Source organism: Homo sapiens, chromosome 7 (genome assembly GCF_000001405.40).
Source record: "Homo sapiens chromosome 7, GRCh38.p14 Primary Assembly".
In the NCBI taxonomy this organism is placed as follows: Eukaryota; Metazoa; Chordata; class Mammalia; order Primates; family Hominidae; genus Homo; species Homo sapiens.
In genome coordinates this window covers 12,632,661-12,649,910 of record NC_000007.14, presented here as the reverse complement: position 1 = coordinate 12,649,910, position 17,250 = coordinate 12,632,661, and the positions used below count along the sequence as shown (strand labels likewise).

The window sequence follows — 17,250 nt, the reverse complement described above, 5'->3', positions numbered from 1 at the left end:
CTTTGAATATGTCGGTTTCCTCAATGGCATTGTACCCCCATGACACTGTACACACGAATGCACTTGTTAGTTAAATGAATTATAAACAAATTAGGAATGAGTAACTTTTACAAATAAATGAAAAATAAAAGTTTTTTGCCTACAACTGTAAAGCCAAAGATGGTAGCTCTGGAATTATTTTCATACTAAGAAATCAACTTGCCATATGTGTTAGTTTCATTTTTTACCAAATGTGTGTGTGTGTTTTTTAAATACAGCCTAAATCTCTAGGCTCATTTATATCTAGACTTACCATTTCTCAGATCAAGTTCTGTCATCTCCCAACCAAAAATGCATTCTCTTCTTATGAACAAAATGTAGTTTTACCTGTTCCCAAGCATCTAGTAACATGACATCATCTTCAGCTAAATCATCCTGGGTGAACTCTCCTGGAATCTCTTCAATCTGAAAGGTATAAAAAGCTATATGAGCAAAAAGTAAAGCAGTAATTTTTCTAATACATAGGATAGAAATGCCCTGTATTTTTTTTGAGTATAGTGAAAATAAAATTTGGTGGTAATTTTTTTCTTCTTTTTCACGTAATAAAAATTTAAATAATTGTTCATTGATTTGGCATCACAAACTAGTAGTATTTTATTTGGCCAGAACAGTATTTAATATAAACATTGCATTTGTGAAATTAAATAAGTCAAATATAAAGCTGGTGGAACCTTAAATTATTCTGAACTTTGAGAGGAATGCGGCTGTGTGGCCTGAGTCTTGAGGCATGCACTCGAGCTTTTGTCTTTTTTTCTGCAAATAATTAGGAAGACCAAAGAGTGCCAGAGATAAGACCCCCCTCATATCACCACTCCTCACAGAGTAAGAAAGTACTCTTCCTTGGAATGTATTCATAGCAATCTGTAACCAATCAAATCACTGTCAGTATACACTGGTCTTATATAAAAAATTACATAATCCTGCTAAAATTTCTCTGTTTCTGCCTATTGTCAGTGAAACTTTAACTCCTCCACTTTAAAATGCTGACCCCATTCATTTGGAGTCAGCGTTTTCTGGGTGGCTATCCTCAAGCCTTGCATCTCAATAAACTATATATTTAAGCGTATTTTCTAAATCTCATCCTTAGGGTTGACACATTTGAATGCCCACATATATAGTCAATTTGCTCACAATCCTCTGTACTTCCAGTCCTTTATGAATAGTTGTTTCACAGATTTATGTTGCCTATCTAGTTCCTAAAAACATTTGAGTTTATGGTCTGAGTATTAAATTATCTTTCATTTTGTAGGTTAGGATTACTTTTAAAAAGTCAATAGGGCTGGGCGTGGTGGCTCATGCCTGTAATCCCAGCACTTTGGGAGGCTGAGTTGGGTGGATCACGAGGTCAGGAGTTCAAGACCAGCCTGGCCAACATGGTGAAACTCTGTCTCTACTAAAAATACAAACATTAGCCAGGTGTGGTGGCAGGTGCCTGTAGTTCCAGCTACTTGGGAGGCTGATGTAGGAGAATTGCTTGAACCTGGGAGGTGGAGGTTGCAGTGAGTCAAGACCGTGCCATTGCACTCCAGCCTGGGCAACAGAATGAGACTCCGTCTCAGAAAAAAAAAAAAAAAAAGAGAGAGAGAGAAAAAGTCAATAGGCCTAGTCATTTTAATAAATCAAAAAATTTCAATAAGATGACATTATAACATAATATTTGCATGTACAAAATTTTTTTTATTTTTAATGGGTTAAATTGTGTTAAATTATAGTTAGCATTAAAGGGTAATGGAAGGGTTAGCTTCATCCACCCATTGGTAATACATACCAATGGGCATGTATTAATCTAAAGTTCAGTATTTTTAGAGAATTCTGAGTGAAAACCCCCCTGATCCTTACGCAGGAGTTTGGATTATGGTTCCCCATTCTTTATTCACTCCCTCTGGCATGTGACTTTGCGGTGCTATGGAGCTGACTGGGGCGTTGGCCATGTCATATTAGCAAAGGTGACTCAGCAAGGGCCTTTTTGTGTCCTTGACTTTGTCACTGGAAAAATATGTATAAACTCAAAACATGCGCCCAGCATAGATAAACCTAGTTCCTGGCAGCCTGCAGACATCTGAGCATGACAATTCATGTTTGTTCTAATCTGATGAGATTTTGAGATTGTTATACAAAATAAACAAAACAAAAAACCTTGACCATTTAGAAGGCAAAGGATTTGTTTATATTATCTTTTTAGAGGACATACACCAATCACATAATCATTTTAAAAAGAAAAACTTTAGCACTTAACTTGACGTCAGCACTGTTCTAATGTTTTATATGCAACAGCTAAGTTAATATTCACAGCTCTATGAAGTAGGTACTAAGATTACCACCATTTTAGAGTTGAGACAACTACAGCCCAGACAGGCTCAGTAACCAGCCTAAAGTCACACAGCCAGCAAGTACTACCACCAGATAAGTGACAGCACATGGGCAGATTGGTTCTAAAAGCTGTGCTTTTAGTTAATAAGCTCTGCTGCCTTGTAGCTGCCTTGTAGGAATCTACACGTGTAAAGCCTACTTTCTGATAGTAATTATAAGATCAAAGATTTGTTAGCAACAATCCTTTGCCTTAAACTATAAAGGGAGCAGAAGGGGTTCCAAATATCAAACAAGAAAATGAGTTGGTGCAGAGGAAATGTATATTTCTCTTAAAGGCTAATATATACGCATAACAAAAAGCCAAAGACTAACAGATCTTTTTTCTTTAAACACACTGAGAACAAAGCCTAGGTACTTATTTTTGTAAAATACATTTTTCTTGGAAACAAACAACTAATTTATAGCAATGTTAATAAATAATTCTAATAAGAAATTATAGGAGCATATGCTGAAAAATAAGTTGCTTGGATGCAATATCAAGTCAAAACAATAAAACAGCAGATTTTTCTGATGACAAATCTATAAAATATAGCAAGTTCAGGGATTTCCTGTAAAGTAGGTGAGCAAATTGTGGTATACAGCAACCAAATATTTATCTCAATGCACTGTTTAAATCTTTAACTTGTAGGTCAAATCATTTATAACCTTCAAGGGAGACTTGAACCACTTCATCTCAAATAATTTTATTTCTAGTAATCAAAATATCTGACAAAATACGTGGGAAATTTTCTTTCCTGTGTTGAAAAATGAAGTTTGCATTTATTCACTAGGGCATGTTGACCAAAATCTGTGGATCAAATTTTATATAAAAGAAGAATTCATTCTTTAAATGAAAAATTTACCAAAAACTTAGCACGTCAAACAGAGAAAGTATAACTTTTTTTTTTGAAATTTAGGTGAGAGGCTGTGGTTCAGGATGATATTTCAGAGCCTAGTGTAAAATCACTCCTGTATTCTTTTGTATTGGATGTTTGTTTGCCTCCAGAATTCCTATGCTAAACCCCTAGCCTCCAATGGCATGGTAGTAGGAGGTGGGGCCTTTGGGAGGTAATTAGGTTCAGATGAGGCCATGAGGGTACAGTGCCCCTGCTTAGTGTCTGTCTTTATAAGGAAAGAACACGACTAGAGCTTGCTCTCTTGGCCATGTGAGGACACAAGAAGGCTAGACAGTGGTCCCTCACCAGACATCAGATCTGCTGTTGCCTTAATCTTGGACTTCTCAGCCTTCAGAACCATGAAAAATAAATGTTTGTGGTTTAAACCACACAGTCAATGGTATTTTTGTGATAGGAGCTTGAACTAAGACATGCATACACATACTTCTAATTTTACTTCTGACTGGACTGGAAGTCAAAGCTTGTAAATGACTATGAAATAAAACATTCCTGTTGATATCAGTTAATTTGTAACTGCATATATAGCTTTCTGTGATTTTTGCCCAATGATCATAATATTTCCATAATATTTTTAATTCAGTCAATATGGTGAAAATTTTTACTCCGCTGGGAAATTGACATGTAAAATTTACATAGTTTGATCAGAAATAATGATTGCTGCCCACAGAAAATGCCAAATTATTAAATTAACACATCTAGCCACATATATATTCATACAGCAACTGCATGCTCACACAGGTGTAAAGTAGCTAGTACTTTTAAGAACAGCTTAATCTATATAGGACATCACAACATTAATGCTTTCACATTAATTATATCATTAATCCTTAAAATACCCTGTGTAAGGAACAGAAAACCAAATACTGCAGGTTCTCACTTATAAGTGGGACCTAAATGATGAGAACACACGGACACATAGAGAGGAACAACACACACTGGGGGCCTATCGAAAGGTGGAAGGTGGGATGAGGGAGACGATCAGGAAAAATAACTAATGGATACTAGGCTTAATACCTGGGTGATGAAATAATCTGTACAACAAACTCCCACAACACAAGTTTACCTATGTAACGAACCTGCACATGTACCCCTGAACTTAAAATAAAAGTTTAAAAAAAATACCCTGTGTAGAGCAAAGGTTGTCACCGTGGTTTGTAGGCAGGCTGAAACTGAGATTCAGAACAGTAGCATGTCTGAAGGTGTCAGAGCCACATGGGAATGCCCTTCCCGGCGTTGTTAGGTTCTATCTCACTGTTTTTTGTTTTTTGTGTTTTTTTTGAGATGGAGTCTCACTCTGTTGCCCAGGCTGGAACACAGTGGTGCCAGTGGCACGATCTTGGCTCACTGCAACCTCCGCCTCCTGGGTTCAAGAGATTCTCCTGTCTCAGCCTCCCAAGTAGCTGGGACTACAGGCACCCACCACCATGCCTGACTAATTTTTGTATTTTTAGTAGAGAGGGGGTTTCACCATATTGGCCAGGCTGGTCTGGAACTCCTTGATCTCGTGATACACCCGTCTCAGCTTCCCAAAGTGCTGGGATTACAGGCATGAGCCACCGCGCCCGGCCCTTTTTTTTTTTTTTTTTTAACGGAGTTTTGCTCTTGTTGCCCAGGCTGGAGTGGAGTGGAGTGGCGCGACCTTGGCTCACTGCAACCTCCGCCTCCTGGGTTCAAGTGATTCTCCTGCCTCAAGCCTCCCGAGTAGCTTGAATTACAAGTGTGCACCACCACATCCAGCTAATTTTTATATTTTTAGTAGAGACGGTTTCTACATGTTGGTCAGGCTGGTCTCGAACTCCTGACCTCAGGTGATCTGCCTGCCTCGGCCTCCCAAAGTGCTGGGATTACAGGCATGAGCCACCGCAACCAGCCCTATCGCACTATTTTTAAGGACACTTACAACAAATCTTCCAGTTTTGTTAGAGCAGCCGTAAAGCCGAGGTGGATGGTCTTCAGCCTGGGTTTCCAGTAGTGGTGAGGTCTGGTAGTCTTTTTTCCCTCCAAGGGAATTCCAGAACTCCTCTGTGGAAAACACACTCAGTTATCCAGTGCATTTTCAGGGACATATGCTTGCTGTCGCTTTATATGAACAAATATTATCTCACCTTGATTTCAGTGTTGAGAAATTACTTAAAGAAATCAGGTACCATCACCCACCCACCTCTGCAACTAATGGAGAGATTGTTAACCCTTATAAGCCATTAGAAAGTGACTTTTTGGTGAAAAAAAGATGATTAGCAATCGTATCAGTATAAATTCTAGTTAGTGCCCTTGGCCCCAGAGCACACACCTGGCTCCTCGCCTTCTTGGATCCTTAAGGTTTTGCACTTTAGGACACTTGCTACATACTCTGCTCCTTTCTCCTCCTCCTGGCTAGCACCTTTTCCTACCCAGATGTAGCCACTATTTTGTGGCAGTTTCAGGACAAAAACATCGTTAGAATTCAGTGAATTTGCATCAACATCAACCTGGAATATGAAGAAAAATAAAACAATGATTCAAATTCATTGCTGCTCCCTCAATAAACATGTCCCAGAAGCTGTGACTGTGGCAAACCATACATCGCCTTCTGCCCTATCCCAGGAAATTAATTCAGAGCCGCTCTGGGACACCACTATGGTATTTTAAACCCTAGAGTAGGAGCACTTCGGTCTGTGTCACTTGTGGATTTGTGACTCTGTGTCTGTCTCTGTGAGAACTGTCTGACCATATGACTGTGCTACTATGTCACTGGTATGACTTTCTGTATAATTGTCAAACAAGTGTGATGTGTGATTCCAGAAAGAGGAAGAAGAACCAGTAAGCAAGACTGAGGGGGAGCAGCTGAGACGGAGGAGGAAAACAAGAGCGTAAAGTGATCTTGAGGCCAAGTGAGGAAAATGCTTCAAGAAGGCAGGGGTGATTTGCTGTGCCAAATGGTGCTGCTTGGCCAACCACACTGAACTGCCAGGATGAAGGCAGCCATGATGTGGAGAGTTGAATTTCACCAGGTTTGTCAGGAGCCTGTTGAAGGAGAGAACACTAGAGGTGGAAGGAATGGCTGTTGGAAGTTTTAAAGGAATGTCCAGGAATTGGGAACATTCAGGAAAATAGTTAAAGTCCTCTCCCAGCAGGAATGAGGCCTCACAGAACAAGCTCAAAGGAATCTATCAGATGTGATTATGGAGAATTACAGGAACCAAGTCTGGCTTCCAGGGCTTCCAATTTCTAATACAAACATCTCATTATGGGTACAGAGGAAAGAGCCCGGATGATGGATAGAAGCTGACAAGAGACCTGTGCCCAGACTGGTGTGAGATCAGGAAATGAGATCTAAAACAGAATCTTTATAAAGCCTTAGCCTGCCGGGAGATGAAGACAGAAAGACCTGTAAAATGATCTTGACTGGTGCATTTCAGAGAGGTTGGGAATGTGAAAGCTGGTTTGAGAGGCTGCAAGAAAATAAAGAGATGCACAGAAAGCAGCTGATGAGGTCTCACAAAGGAATGTCCACTGGGGAAGAGATCAGAATGTAACAATGGTGCATTTTGGTTGACTTTCCCATCTGAAATCAACTGAGAATGCCCGTAGATAATGTATGCTTAAATGTCATTTTGATAGTTTTTAAATGTCAAAAAAATAGTCATAATTAAACACAGAAGAATCCGTGCACAGAAGGTTCTGGATGAGATCAATACATATGGTAGCATTTAAACCATATGACTGAATGAGACCACAGTGAAGGGGCCAAGGCCGAGACTTGGAGCGCTCAAGAACTTAGAGGTCAAACAGAAGAGGAAAACGCAGCAAACTAGCCCGAGAGGAGTGGCCGATAGATTAGGAAGAAACCATTGTAAGTGTGGGGATACATTCACCTAGTGAAAAAAGAATTGCTCAATAAAACTGGAAAGGCTGACTGGCAAATGCTAGTGGGAGGTTGAGAAAAATGAGATCAGAAAAGTGACCTTTGTTTGTGGCATGTGGCAGGTCACTGGCAAACTAGATAAAAACCATTTCAGTGGACTAGTGGGATGGATACCTGATTGAGGTGGCTTTAGAGAGAACTGGCTTTAAAAAGTAGAGATGGTGAGTGAGTGAAAACACTCAAGACAAACCTTTCAATGATATGTGCTCTTAAGAAGGACAGAGAAATGATGCAGTAGCTGGAGAAGGTCATGGTCAAGGTCAAGACACAGTTTTTAAAGAAATGACAGGAGGTTTCTGTTACAGCCATCTTTGTAGTTCAAAGTGAATGATTCCAGATAGAAAAATAAATTGATAATACAGAATGAAAGGAGATTACTGCCTGCAATCATGATGAAATAGAAATGGAATAAATGCACGGGAAAGACAGAAATCCAGGAGATTCCTTAGGAAAGCAAAAGAGGGAAGGATCCGGACAGAAGTTGGTGGCCAGATGGGTGGGGGAGGAATTGGGCCTTAGATAGGAGCAATAGTCTATGTAATAAACATTTAATAAATTATTTATTGATATATCACTGTACACAAATATATTATTTATTGCTAATTTATGGATAATAGTATATATATAATACATATAGTATATAATATTCACTTACAAGACACTTCATCATATGGAAATTCCTAATATAAAATATTAACTTAAAAAATAAATAAAAATTTGATATTTATTTCATAAAAGAGGAGGGAAAGAGAATATATACACAGATGCAGACAAATTGATAAAGTTGCAGGGGAGTAGATAAGGAGATTTATGCCTGATTTATCTTCTCTGTGAACTCTGAATCAAAGTTATCAGTAGAGAGAAGGGGGTGCTGGGGATCTGGGGAGAAAGGAGGACATGAAGCATGGGGTGTGAAGGAGGCAGCGGGTTCATGGATTCAGCTATAGGCCTGGAGAATTGCCAGAATGTGCATTCTGGAGTAAAGGAGCCAAAGGACAGGAGAGAGTTGTCAGAGATTAGATGACTGAAACAGATTTCTGAGGAGCTATAGTTATTGCAAATGGCAAAATTTAGTATAGGACCATGTGAGTGTGAGATGAAATGCGGTCAAGGAAAAGACTGCTGGAAGAGAGAAGCCGGAGAGATGGAAATAGTGAGATAATGGCTGAAGTCATCAAAGAAGAGGAGGACTGGCAGTTCAGTCTATGAAAGCACAAGAGGTCTAGAGGACGGAAAGTCTGATATAAAAGAGAGAGGCAAGATAAAATCAAAGAGGTAAGGGTGAGCAGGGAGGGAACTTGTCCAGCCCCATCCCTGAGGCCATGGTGAGTGGGTCTTGGGAAAACACAAGTTCCACTTGAGAGGGCTGCCAGGGAATCTGTCCTCAGAGGACAGTCGTAGAGAAATCAGGTGCAGGGAGAGGGAGGCTTAGAGAAGAAGTTGCAGGTGGAGGGATGAGATGACCAACCCAAGTTTAAGGGGTCTGCTGATTGACTTGTATGGAGGGCAAGTTTGAGGGACAGCTCCAGGCTTGATATGCAGAGCATGCCAGGCAGCGTAAGGGTGATGTGGAAGACCTGGATTTCAATGGTGACTGGGGTGACAGGATTGTCCTAAGGTGAAAGCACTTAGCCATTTAAAAACCTGGGCAGGCTGGCCTTGTCTATACCTGGAGGTCTTCTTATCTTATGGCACCATGGCATGGGGTTTGATCCCAGCTGCTGTCAGAAACAGCTCATGGGGCCAGTTCAGTTATGGTTCTGGTCCAGTGTGGTGGGACATGCCTCCCATATTTGTTACACTTGGGCAAACGAGGGCCTTCCCTCTCAAATGTCTCCAGTGTGATCAGTCACCTGACCATCACCCATGATCTATCCACCTAAGGCCTTTCAAGATGGAGCTTAAGCAGCCTCACGCTTTTGACAGCTAATTTGTGACAGTATTCTTAAAAATTTATCTGTTTGGGTTCAATGTAATTGAAAATTGCGAAAGGCCTGGTATCTGGAGTTTTACTTTTTACTCAACTCTCCTGCTTTAAATGTTTTTAAAATTTTGAACAGTGGATTAATTATAGGAATGAAGGGAGTTTATTTGCCAAGTTTTTAAAGTCTAATATTTGCTGATGGCTCAGGTCCATTGGGAAGTCCATAACTAGGGCATGTTTTATGGAATGCATGACATTACCTCCACAATTCTGGTGATAGATGCCAGGTTTCTCCGGACTTGAAAGAGGCGTGTAGGGGGAGCAGGTGCCTGACCTCCTTTCTTTGATGTTCCATTCTTGTAAATAATGAGCGGTTTGTCTTTGAACAAACTCAGTAGGTGAACAGGCTCTTTGCCTTGGGAGACTCGGATCTGATGGGGGAGAGGGGGAATAAAAGAAATATAATTAAGAGTGCTGTGAAAGAAGGTTTTAGTTCCAAATGTGTTCTTATGTTGTCTTTTTGAAAATAAAACAAAAAATAAAAAGTCAAGAGCAGGAGGAATGATGATTAACAGAACATATAGGTTAATGATAATTAATTTTCCCTGTTGACTTGAGAATCTTTTGTTATCGCAGGCACGGTGTCCATGAGTAGTTTCTTGTCAGGGGAAACATCACCATGCTCCAATACTTTCTGTTTTTGAAAAGTATGAAGATGTAAGTCTGTTCATCTACATCTCCGAAAGAGAAAAGGTGCTGGTGTCTGCGACCTTATGTGAAAATCACTCTTCTTTCAAGGGCACCAGTAACACTTACAGATATTTACAGAGGTACTAGAATCTCACGTGTTTTGGATCTGGTTCAGAAGGTTAAGAGATGTGCATTCAAATGCTTCACAACATAAGATGACCCCAAATCATACCCATTATTTCTATATCTCTGTATTTGTAAAATAAAAAAATTACACACACACACAAAGATTGCTATGCAAGCACTAAAAATGGGCAAAAATAAACAGAATATGTTTTCTACTTTTTAACTTACCTATAGAAATGTAATAGTAGATATGCTCAATATAAGAAACTTTAAAAAATACAATATAAAGACTTTTCAGGATGAGGAAATTGAAAAAAAAAGGGAAATTATTTTCTTGATTTTATTTATTAGCCCCAAATATTGGATTAGAATTTCCTATTTCTCACACAAACTATTGATGCATTTACATAAAGAGTTCAAATTTCATGTCAGTCTCCCATTGTTTTCATTTGTTCTGCCCTGTGCTAAAATTGAACTGTCTCACTTCCCCTGGTTTGTCTTTTTCTAGAAGCCAGGTGAATGGGAATGCTGATGCATGTACTCATTACATGCATATACATACCTGCATATAGGGAGGCCGAAAGGCATTGAAAATAATTGACTTCATAAATATATTTCAATTAGTAGGCATTCAAATAAGTGAGCAGCAAATTATGGAAACGTTTTGTCAGTTATAGTCTCACAAATACCTAAAACTGTTAGCTTAGCATTTCATATAACATGGAGAAAACTTTAATTGCCAACATGAGAGAAAGAGAAACACTGATTAAGGCCCATCCCTTACTGTCAAAGGAGAATAAGAAAGAAAAAAGGCTGATTAAAATATGTTCAATATGGTTAATATATTCTACAAAGGAGCGTTGAAAACCGCAATACTTTAGTTTTTTCATGCATTATTGTAAGCTACTGCCATCTAGTGATTAAACTAAAAATTACCATTTTGTTGTCAATTTAGGATTCAACCGGCTAACAATTCATGGTAACTCATTAATCGAGTGCATCAAATATAGTACTATGAAATATGAAATATGTAAGACAATGCATGTCTTCATAGTTTTTTAATAGTTTGGTAAGTAATACCTTAAAGATCAACTAAATTCCATAGAATTGAGTGCATTTAAAGAATTCAGTCATTTCATTAATTTATTGATTAAAAGTAGCAAGTTAACTTATTTTTAAAAAGTTAACATGCGCCTTTAAATTTAGATTTAACTTGATTTTTGTATCTACTAACTTGTATCAAGATGGAAAGGAGACCAGCTGGAAGACCAACTTCAGCCTTCACATCTTATACTTTATGTTCTGAAGTGTCTAACTTGCCTCTCTCTATTTAATTATTACATTAAAATAAGCAATTACACACTTACAAAGATTTGAAAACAAGACAGAAAAACCCTTTTGTACCATATAGAGTCTTAGCTCCCTTGACATCAGGAATGAGGAAGTTAAACAGGCACAACCATGTAAAGGGAGTGTTTAATGCTGCTGTATCAGAAACATCACTGCATTGGCCAAGTAAGCACCTGCTTTCAGTTTGAACTCTAATCTGTAAGATGCTTTTCCCACCAGATGGGAGCAGATGGCTTCTCAGAAACTGGCCAAAGACAACAGGCAGGCAGAAAACAGGCAGCAGTGTGTGCAGCTCCAGCTAGGAAGACACAGGGAATGAGAGAGAGGGAGAGAGATAGTTCCAGCTAGCTGTAGGAAAAAGGAACAAGAAAGTACTCTCTCACAGAATGAACGAGAAAGCAGACGGACACATTGGGGCACACTAGAGGAAAATAGGGTCTTCTTGAAGTCTGTATGTCAGTTATACAGTAAGGGAATCTAAAAAACAAAGACCCAAAAACTTTTTCATGGTAACTAATAAGCGTCCTGAAACAAGTAGCAGATACTCCACCATAAATATAAAAGGAGGAGCAGTTGAACTTAGGAGAGTACAGAAGATTGAACCAGGCTAGAAACAGCAGTCTCTTAGACACAGTGAGGAGATCTAGAACTAGACATTGATATCGTCTGATATTGTATAACATTTAAAGTTTTATAATAAATAAAACAGCATATTATCTCTTCCTGTCCCTTTTTCTCTATCTTAATCTGTCTCTAGATAGAGATAGCTAAGATAGATAAGTTAGATAGATAGATATACTAAAAAGTTGACTCATTTATAATTACATGAAATTTTCATTTTGAATTTGGATTCAGTCATTCTCGACAAGTAATTTTTTATTTCAGAAATACCCAAGTAAAAAAATACATCTCTCCTCCCTCTCAATCTCTCCTCCCTCTCACACTATCCTCTCCCTTGCCCTTCCTCTTCTCTCCTCCTTCTTACTTGTCTCATTTCTTCCTCCATGATTTCCCTCTCTTCTCTTCCCCCTCCTCTCCTCCTTACTTGTCTCATTTCTTCCTCCATGATTTCCCTCTCTTCTCTTCCCTCTCCTCTCCTCCTATCCCTTTTCTTTCCCCTTTCTCCCTGTCTTTTCTCTTTGTCCCTCCCATTTCTGTTCATCCTTTCTCCCTCTCCACCACTTCCTCCCTCACTTTTGGGTGTTGGACTTTGTTTCAGTAAAGATTCTGGTACCTAAAAGGGAAATATAAGGACCCATGCTATTTTATCAAGATTTATTTCTGTTTACTTGTGCAAAACATAACTTACGCATGTTTACGATTTGAGAGTGTAAGAAAATGCATCTTTTTTTAACCTATTAATTCGAATTGTTAATCTGTGCTTGTTCTGCACTGTTGTATTTATTTCTCATTGTTGCTGTAACAAATTACTATGATTTAGTGGCTTAAAACAACACAAATTTATCATCTTACAGTTTTGGAGGTCATAAGTCTGAAATGAGTTATGGGGCTAATTTAGTAACTGGGCTAAAATCTGGAATAACAATTTAGTCACAGGGCTAAAATCAAGCTATTGCAGGGCTATAGTCCTTTCCAGAGGCTCTAGGAATCAATCTATTCCTTGCTTTTTCTGGCTTCTAGAGGTTGCCCATATTCCTTTGCTGGGGACTCTCTTCCACCTTCTTTTTTTTTAATTTTATTTTTTAATTGATTAATAATAATTGTAGATATTCATGGGGTACATACAATGTATAGTGATCAAATTAGGGTAACTAGCATAACATCATCTCAAATATTTATCATTTCTTTGTGTTGGGAATGTTCGATATCCTCGTTCTAGCAATTTGCAACTACATAATATGTAATTGTTCCTTCTATCCTCAAAGCTAGCAATCGCTGGTTGAGTCTTTCCCATGCTGCATCCCTCTGACTCTGTCTGGCTTCTGTTTTACTTACAAGGACCCTGGTGATTACGCTAGGCCCACCCAGTAATCCCAGATAATCTCCCTAGTTTAAGATCTGCTGATGAACAACCATAACTCCATCTCCGACCTTAATTCTCCTTTGCTTTGTAACATATCACACTCACAGGTCCTGAGGATTAGGACATGAACACCTTGGGGGCATTATTCTGCCTACTGTATCTGTTGAACAACAGCTGGAAACAGTAATACAGATAAAACCGTTTTAATGTCAAGAGGCTATCATTGACATAGGGTGTGATTCTATTGGGAAGATTCTTTTGGAATCTTACACCTGTTGATAGATTTTTGTTGTTTTTGTTTGCTACCTCCTTTCCAGAATCTGAGATAACTAATTTGAAATGAGAGTAGGAATATTTGAATTTCAAAATGAAAACACAGTTCATATCAAGAAAATGTCAAATTTCTATCCCAACTTGGGAGGGAGCTATAGCTATCCATTGAGCTAGCAAGACTTTAACTTGTGTGAGTTTTGGGGGTAAAAATATCCCAACCTGCACAGCCTGTCCTCCAAGGGACCGATCCAACTGAACAGTCAGGAACGCAGATGTTGTCAGCTCATCTCGTGTGGCATTTGCTCCTTGCCTAGAGGAATGAAAGTGAAACGAATTAGCTTGCCTTTAAGTTTTAAGATCGTCACATGTAGGCATTGCAAGCAGAGACAAGTTATTATGAAAGATCAAGAAGAAGCGAACTGTTTTAACATGATACAAGCTGTTAAGCTATTGTTTTTGTCAAGGTATCTAACATTTAATTGTCCTATGTGTTGTCTAGAACTGTATATGGTAGGCATTTTTATCTCCATGTTAAAGAAATTGAGCTTTTGCTTCTTACATAATTTAGCTAAGTAATTGGGTTCACCTGATTTTAAGTTGGAGCTGCCTGCTTTTTAGAAAACACCTCTACAGTGAAAAATAATCCATCTGAGATGAAAATACGAGCCAAACTTATTAGGTTGAATGTTAGGGGCATTTTGTCTTTCTTGCCTTTTTTTTTTTTTTTTTTTTTTTTTTTTTTTGAGACGGAGTCCTGCACTGTCGCCCGGGCTGGAGTGCAATGGTGTGGTCTTGGCTCACTGCAACCTCCACCTCCCGGCTTCAAGCGATTCTCCTGCCTCAGCCTCCCAAGTACCTGGGATTACAGGCGCCTGCCACCACACCGGGCTAATTTTTTGTATTTTTAGTAGAGATGGGGGTGTCACTATGTTGGCCAGGCTGGTTTCAAACTCCTGACCTCATGATCTGCCCACCTCGGCCTCCCAAAGTGCTAGGATTACAGGCATGAGCCACCGCGCCCAGCCAGCATTTTGTCTTTCTATGAATATTTGGTGAGCATGAACCAAACGTCTGTAACCCAGAAAAATCAAGAAAATAATAATGAGAAGTAGACAATGGAGAGGTCCCATTTTGTCATCTTAGCAATTCCATAAGGAATTATTTATTATTATTATTATTATTATTTGAGACAGAGTCTCACTCATCACCCAGGCTGGAGGGCAGTGGCGTGAACTTGGCTCACTGCAAACTCCACCTCCCAGGTTCAAGCAATTCTCCTGCCTCAGCCTCCTGAGTAGCTGGGATTACAGGTGCTAATTTTTGTATTTTTAGTAGAGACGGGGTTTCACCACGTTGGTCAGGCTGGTCTCAAACTCCTGACCTCAGGTGATCCACCCGCCTCGGCCTCCCAAAGTGCTAGGATTAAAGGGGTGAGGCACTGCACCCTTCCCACCATAAGGAATTATTAATAAGGCTATACAAGAGGCTAAACTTCCAACACTCAGATAAGGGTCAATCAACATGTCCAGTTCATTCGTAGCCTCTCTTTCTAGGGTGGCTTGTGGCTGTTAACTCTGTGTCACCTTAACCTGTAAAGCAACTTGTGGGAGATCTGCTGTTTGATGAGCTTGTAGAGAAGACAGTAAAAAAACAAAACAAAGCCCCAAACATGGTAAAAGCATTCATTGAGCATTATTTATTTTTAGCCAGGTTTCCCATTTCTATTTGACTAGTGGTTAGCTTAGCAGCAGGAATACTAAACTTGGATTTAGACTTTGAAAGTTAACTATTAGATTGGTGCAAAAGTAATTGCTGTTTTTGCTATTAAAAGTAATGGCAAAAGCCGCAATTACTTTTTTTTTTTTTTTGGAGATGGAGTTTCGCTCTTGTTGCCCAGGCTGGAGTGCAATGGCGTGATCTAGGCTCACCACAGTCTCCGCCTCCTGGGTTCAAGTGATTCTCCTGCCTCAGCCTCCCGAGTAGCTGGGACTACAGGCATACACCACTATGCCCGGCTAATTTTGTATTTTTAGTAGAGACGGGATTTCTCCATGTTGGTCAGGCTGGTCTCAAACTCCTGACCTCAGGTGATCCACCTGCCTCGGCCTCCCAAAGTGCTGGGATTACAGGCGTGAGCCACCATGCCCGGCCTACCTACAATTACTTTTGCACCAATCCTAATATATCTTTTCTTCTAAAACTTTGACAGTAAACTGTTCCATACTCGGAACAGATTAAAATAACCTGCCACGTTGGGCAATACCCACCCCCCTCCGCCCAAAACACTGGGAACAGGGTGTGTATCTTATCACAGAATTTTCCACTGGACCAGAAAAGGCAAATGGTTGATGTAAAAATGTTCTACAGAGGGGTGCAAAAAAAAAAAAAACATGCACACAAATGTTGATAAGAAAATAAAAAATGCTTTCCCTAATAAAGGAACTACTAAAAACGTAGTGTTTTAATGTCAATAGCCTACATTTCCCAAGAGCCTATAATGCTAGCCAACACATCTGTGTGCACTGGAAGCACAAGGTGAGGAGTTACACAGAGCTGCATGATGATGGGCCACCGCAGGGTCTGTTATCATGCATTGTTTCTTTGTCACATCTGTGGTTTCCTGAGTTCTCGCTTCCAGCTGTTAAAAATGTCTGCTTTCCATTTTGCTTTTATTCTGGAGGGAAGAAATCCAACCACCGAACAGACAATATTACCTAACTTTTGTCTTCATTTTGCTCCTTTTATTTTTTTGGAGTATTTCAACTAGCAAACCTGCAAAACATCACTAAGTTCTGCCTCATGACACCCTGAACAAATACTTCTCTACTCATCTTAAACCTCTCTTCTGGATCCCAAGTACCAAACTGCCATCCACACAGATTCAAGTATTCCACTCCAATCAAGAAATAACGCAGTCACTCTTTGTTTCTAATTCTGAAATTGTATACTGAACAAAAAAAGCAATCTACTTTGACATATTTTTTCTTTATAAACCTGTGGTGGTTGTTGCTCATTAAAGATGAGTGCTGTGTAAAAATGGGAGTTACTACTTCAAGAGATTCATCATTGTCATCTGTTCAATTTTAATTACCTGTTATTTCAGATAAAATATCATTGCTGAATTTTTTTTTTGTCCTGTCATTTCAGCATACAAGTGATTTCATAATTGATTTAATTCTAGTTTCTCACCTTTAACTCTGCCTCTTGGACTTAACCTGTTTATGTCCCTGTATTGAAATTATCACATAAACTGGAAAGTTGTTTAATTTAAAAGCCAGTCTTCAACGGAACTGCTTATTTTTTGAAAGCCTCTTCACTATCTTTATGGAAGCTTTTGAAGTTCCACAAACCATACAACACTAACAAACTTACATACTTCACATCCATGATTTCAAATGGTGAAGACTCACAAGGACTCTGAAGTATCTAACTTACATTCTTGATATCCCCCCAATATATACATTCTTATGATGGAAATGTTGAACATTTCAAATTGGAAAGAAGAAAGCTAAATGACCATCCCCTCCAGCCGCATTCCAAAGACAGTAACTTTTACCGATGTGGTGCCTTCTCTTTCTCTTTTTCCTTTTGCATTTTTTTACAGTGTGGGCCAAACCTGTCTTCTTAAGATTTTTAATCTCAGGAAATAAAACACTACCCATTTATGCTCAGACCAGAAACCCAGGGGTCATCC

General features: G+C 39.2%; 1 protein-coding gene across 3 annotated transcripts in view, besides 1 other annotated feature; it reads right to left on the bottom strand.

The window, feature by feature from the left end:
- The window catches only part of SCIN (scinderin), an 89,463-nt gene that overhangs the window by 10,272 nt on the left and 61,941 nt on the right, over positions 1–17,250 (bottom strand). For 2 of the 3 annotated variants that reach the window (NM_001112706.3, NM_033128.3), the window contains 5 exons: positions 13,776–13,866; positions 9,394–9,564; positions 5,596–5,773; positions 5,206–5,327; positions 367–444 (listed from right to left, as the gene is read on the bottom strand). In NM_001112706.3, the coding sequence (NP_001106177.1) occupies positions 367–444; positions 5,206–5,327; positions 5,596–5,773; positions 9,394–9,564; positions 13,776–13,866 (640 nt within the window). The remainder of the gene's footprint in view (positions 1–366; positions 445–5,205; positions 5,328–5,595; positions 5,774–9,393; positions 9,565–13,775; positions 13,867–17,250) is intronic. The other variant, NR_156701.2, reaches the window with a different exon arrangement.
- Positions 9,253–9,547: a silencer, noted in NCBI's record as "tiled region #10361; HepG2 Repressive DNase matched - State 5:Enh". NCBI's record gives its function as "represses a minimal TATA promoter and a strong SV40 promoter by Sharpr-MPRA in HepG2 cells {active_cell/tissue: HepG2}" and the evidence as "EXISTENCE:reporter gene assay evidence [ECO:0000049][PMID:27701403]".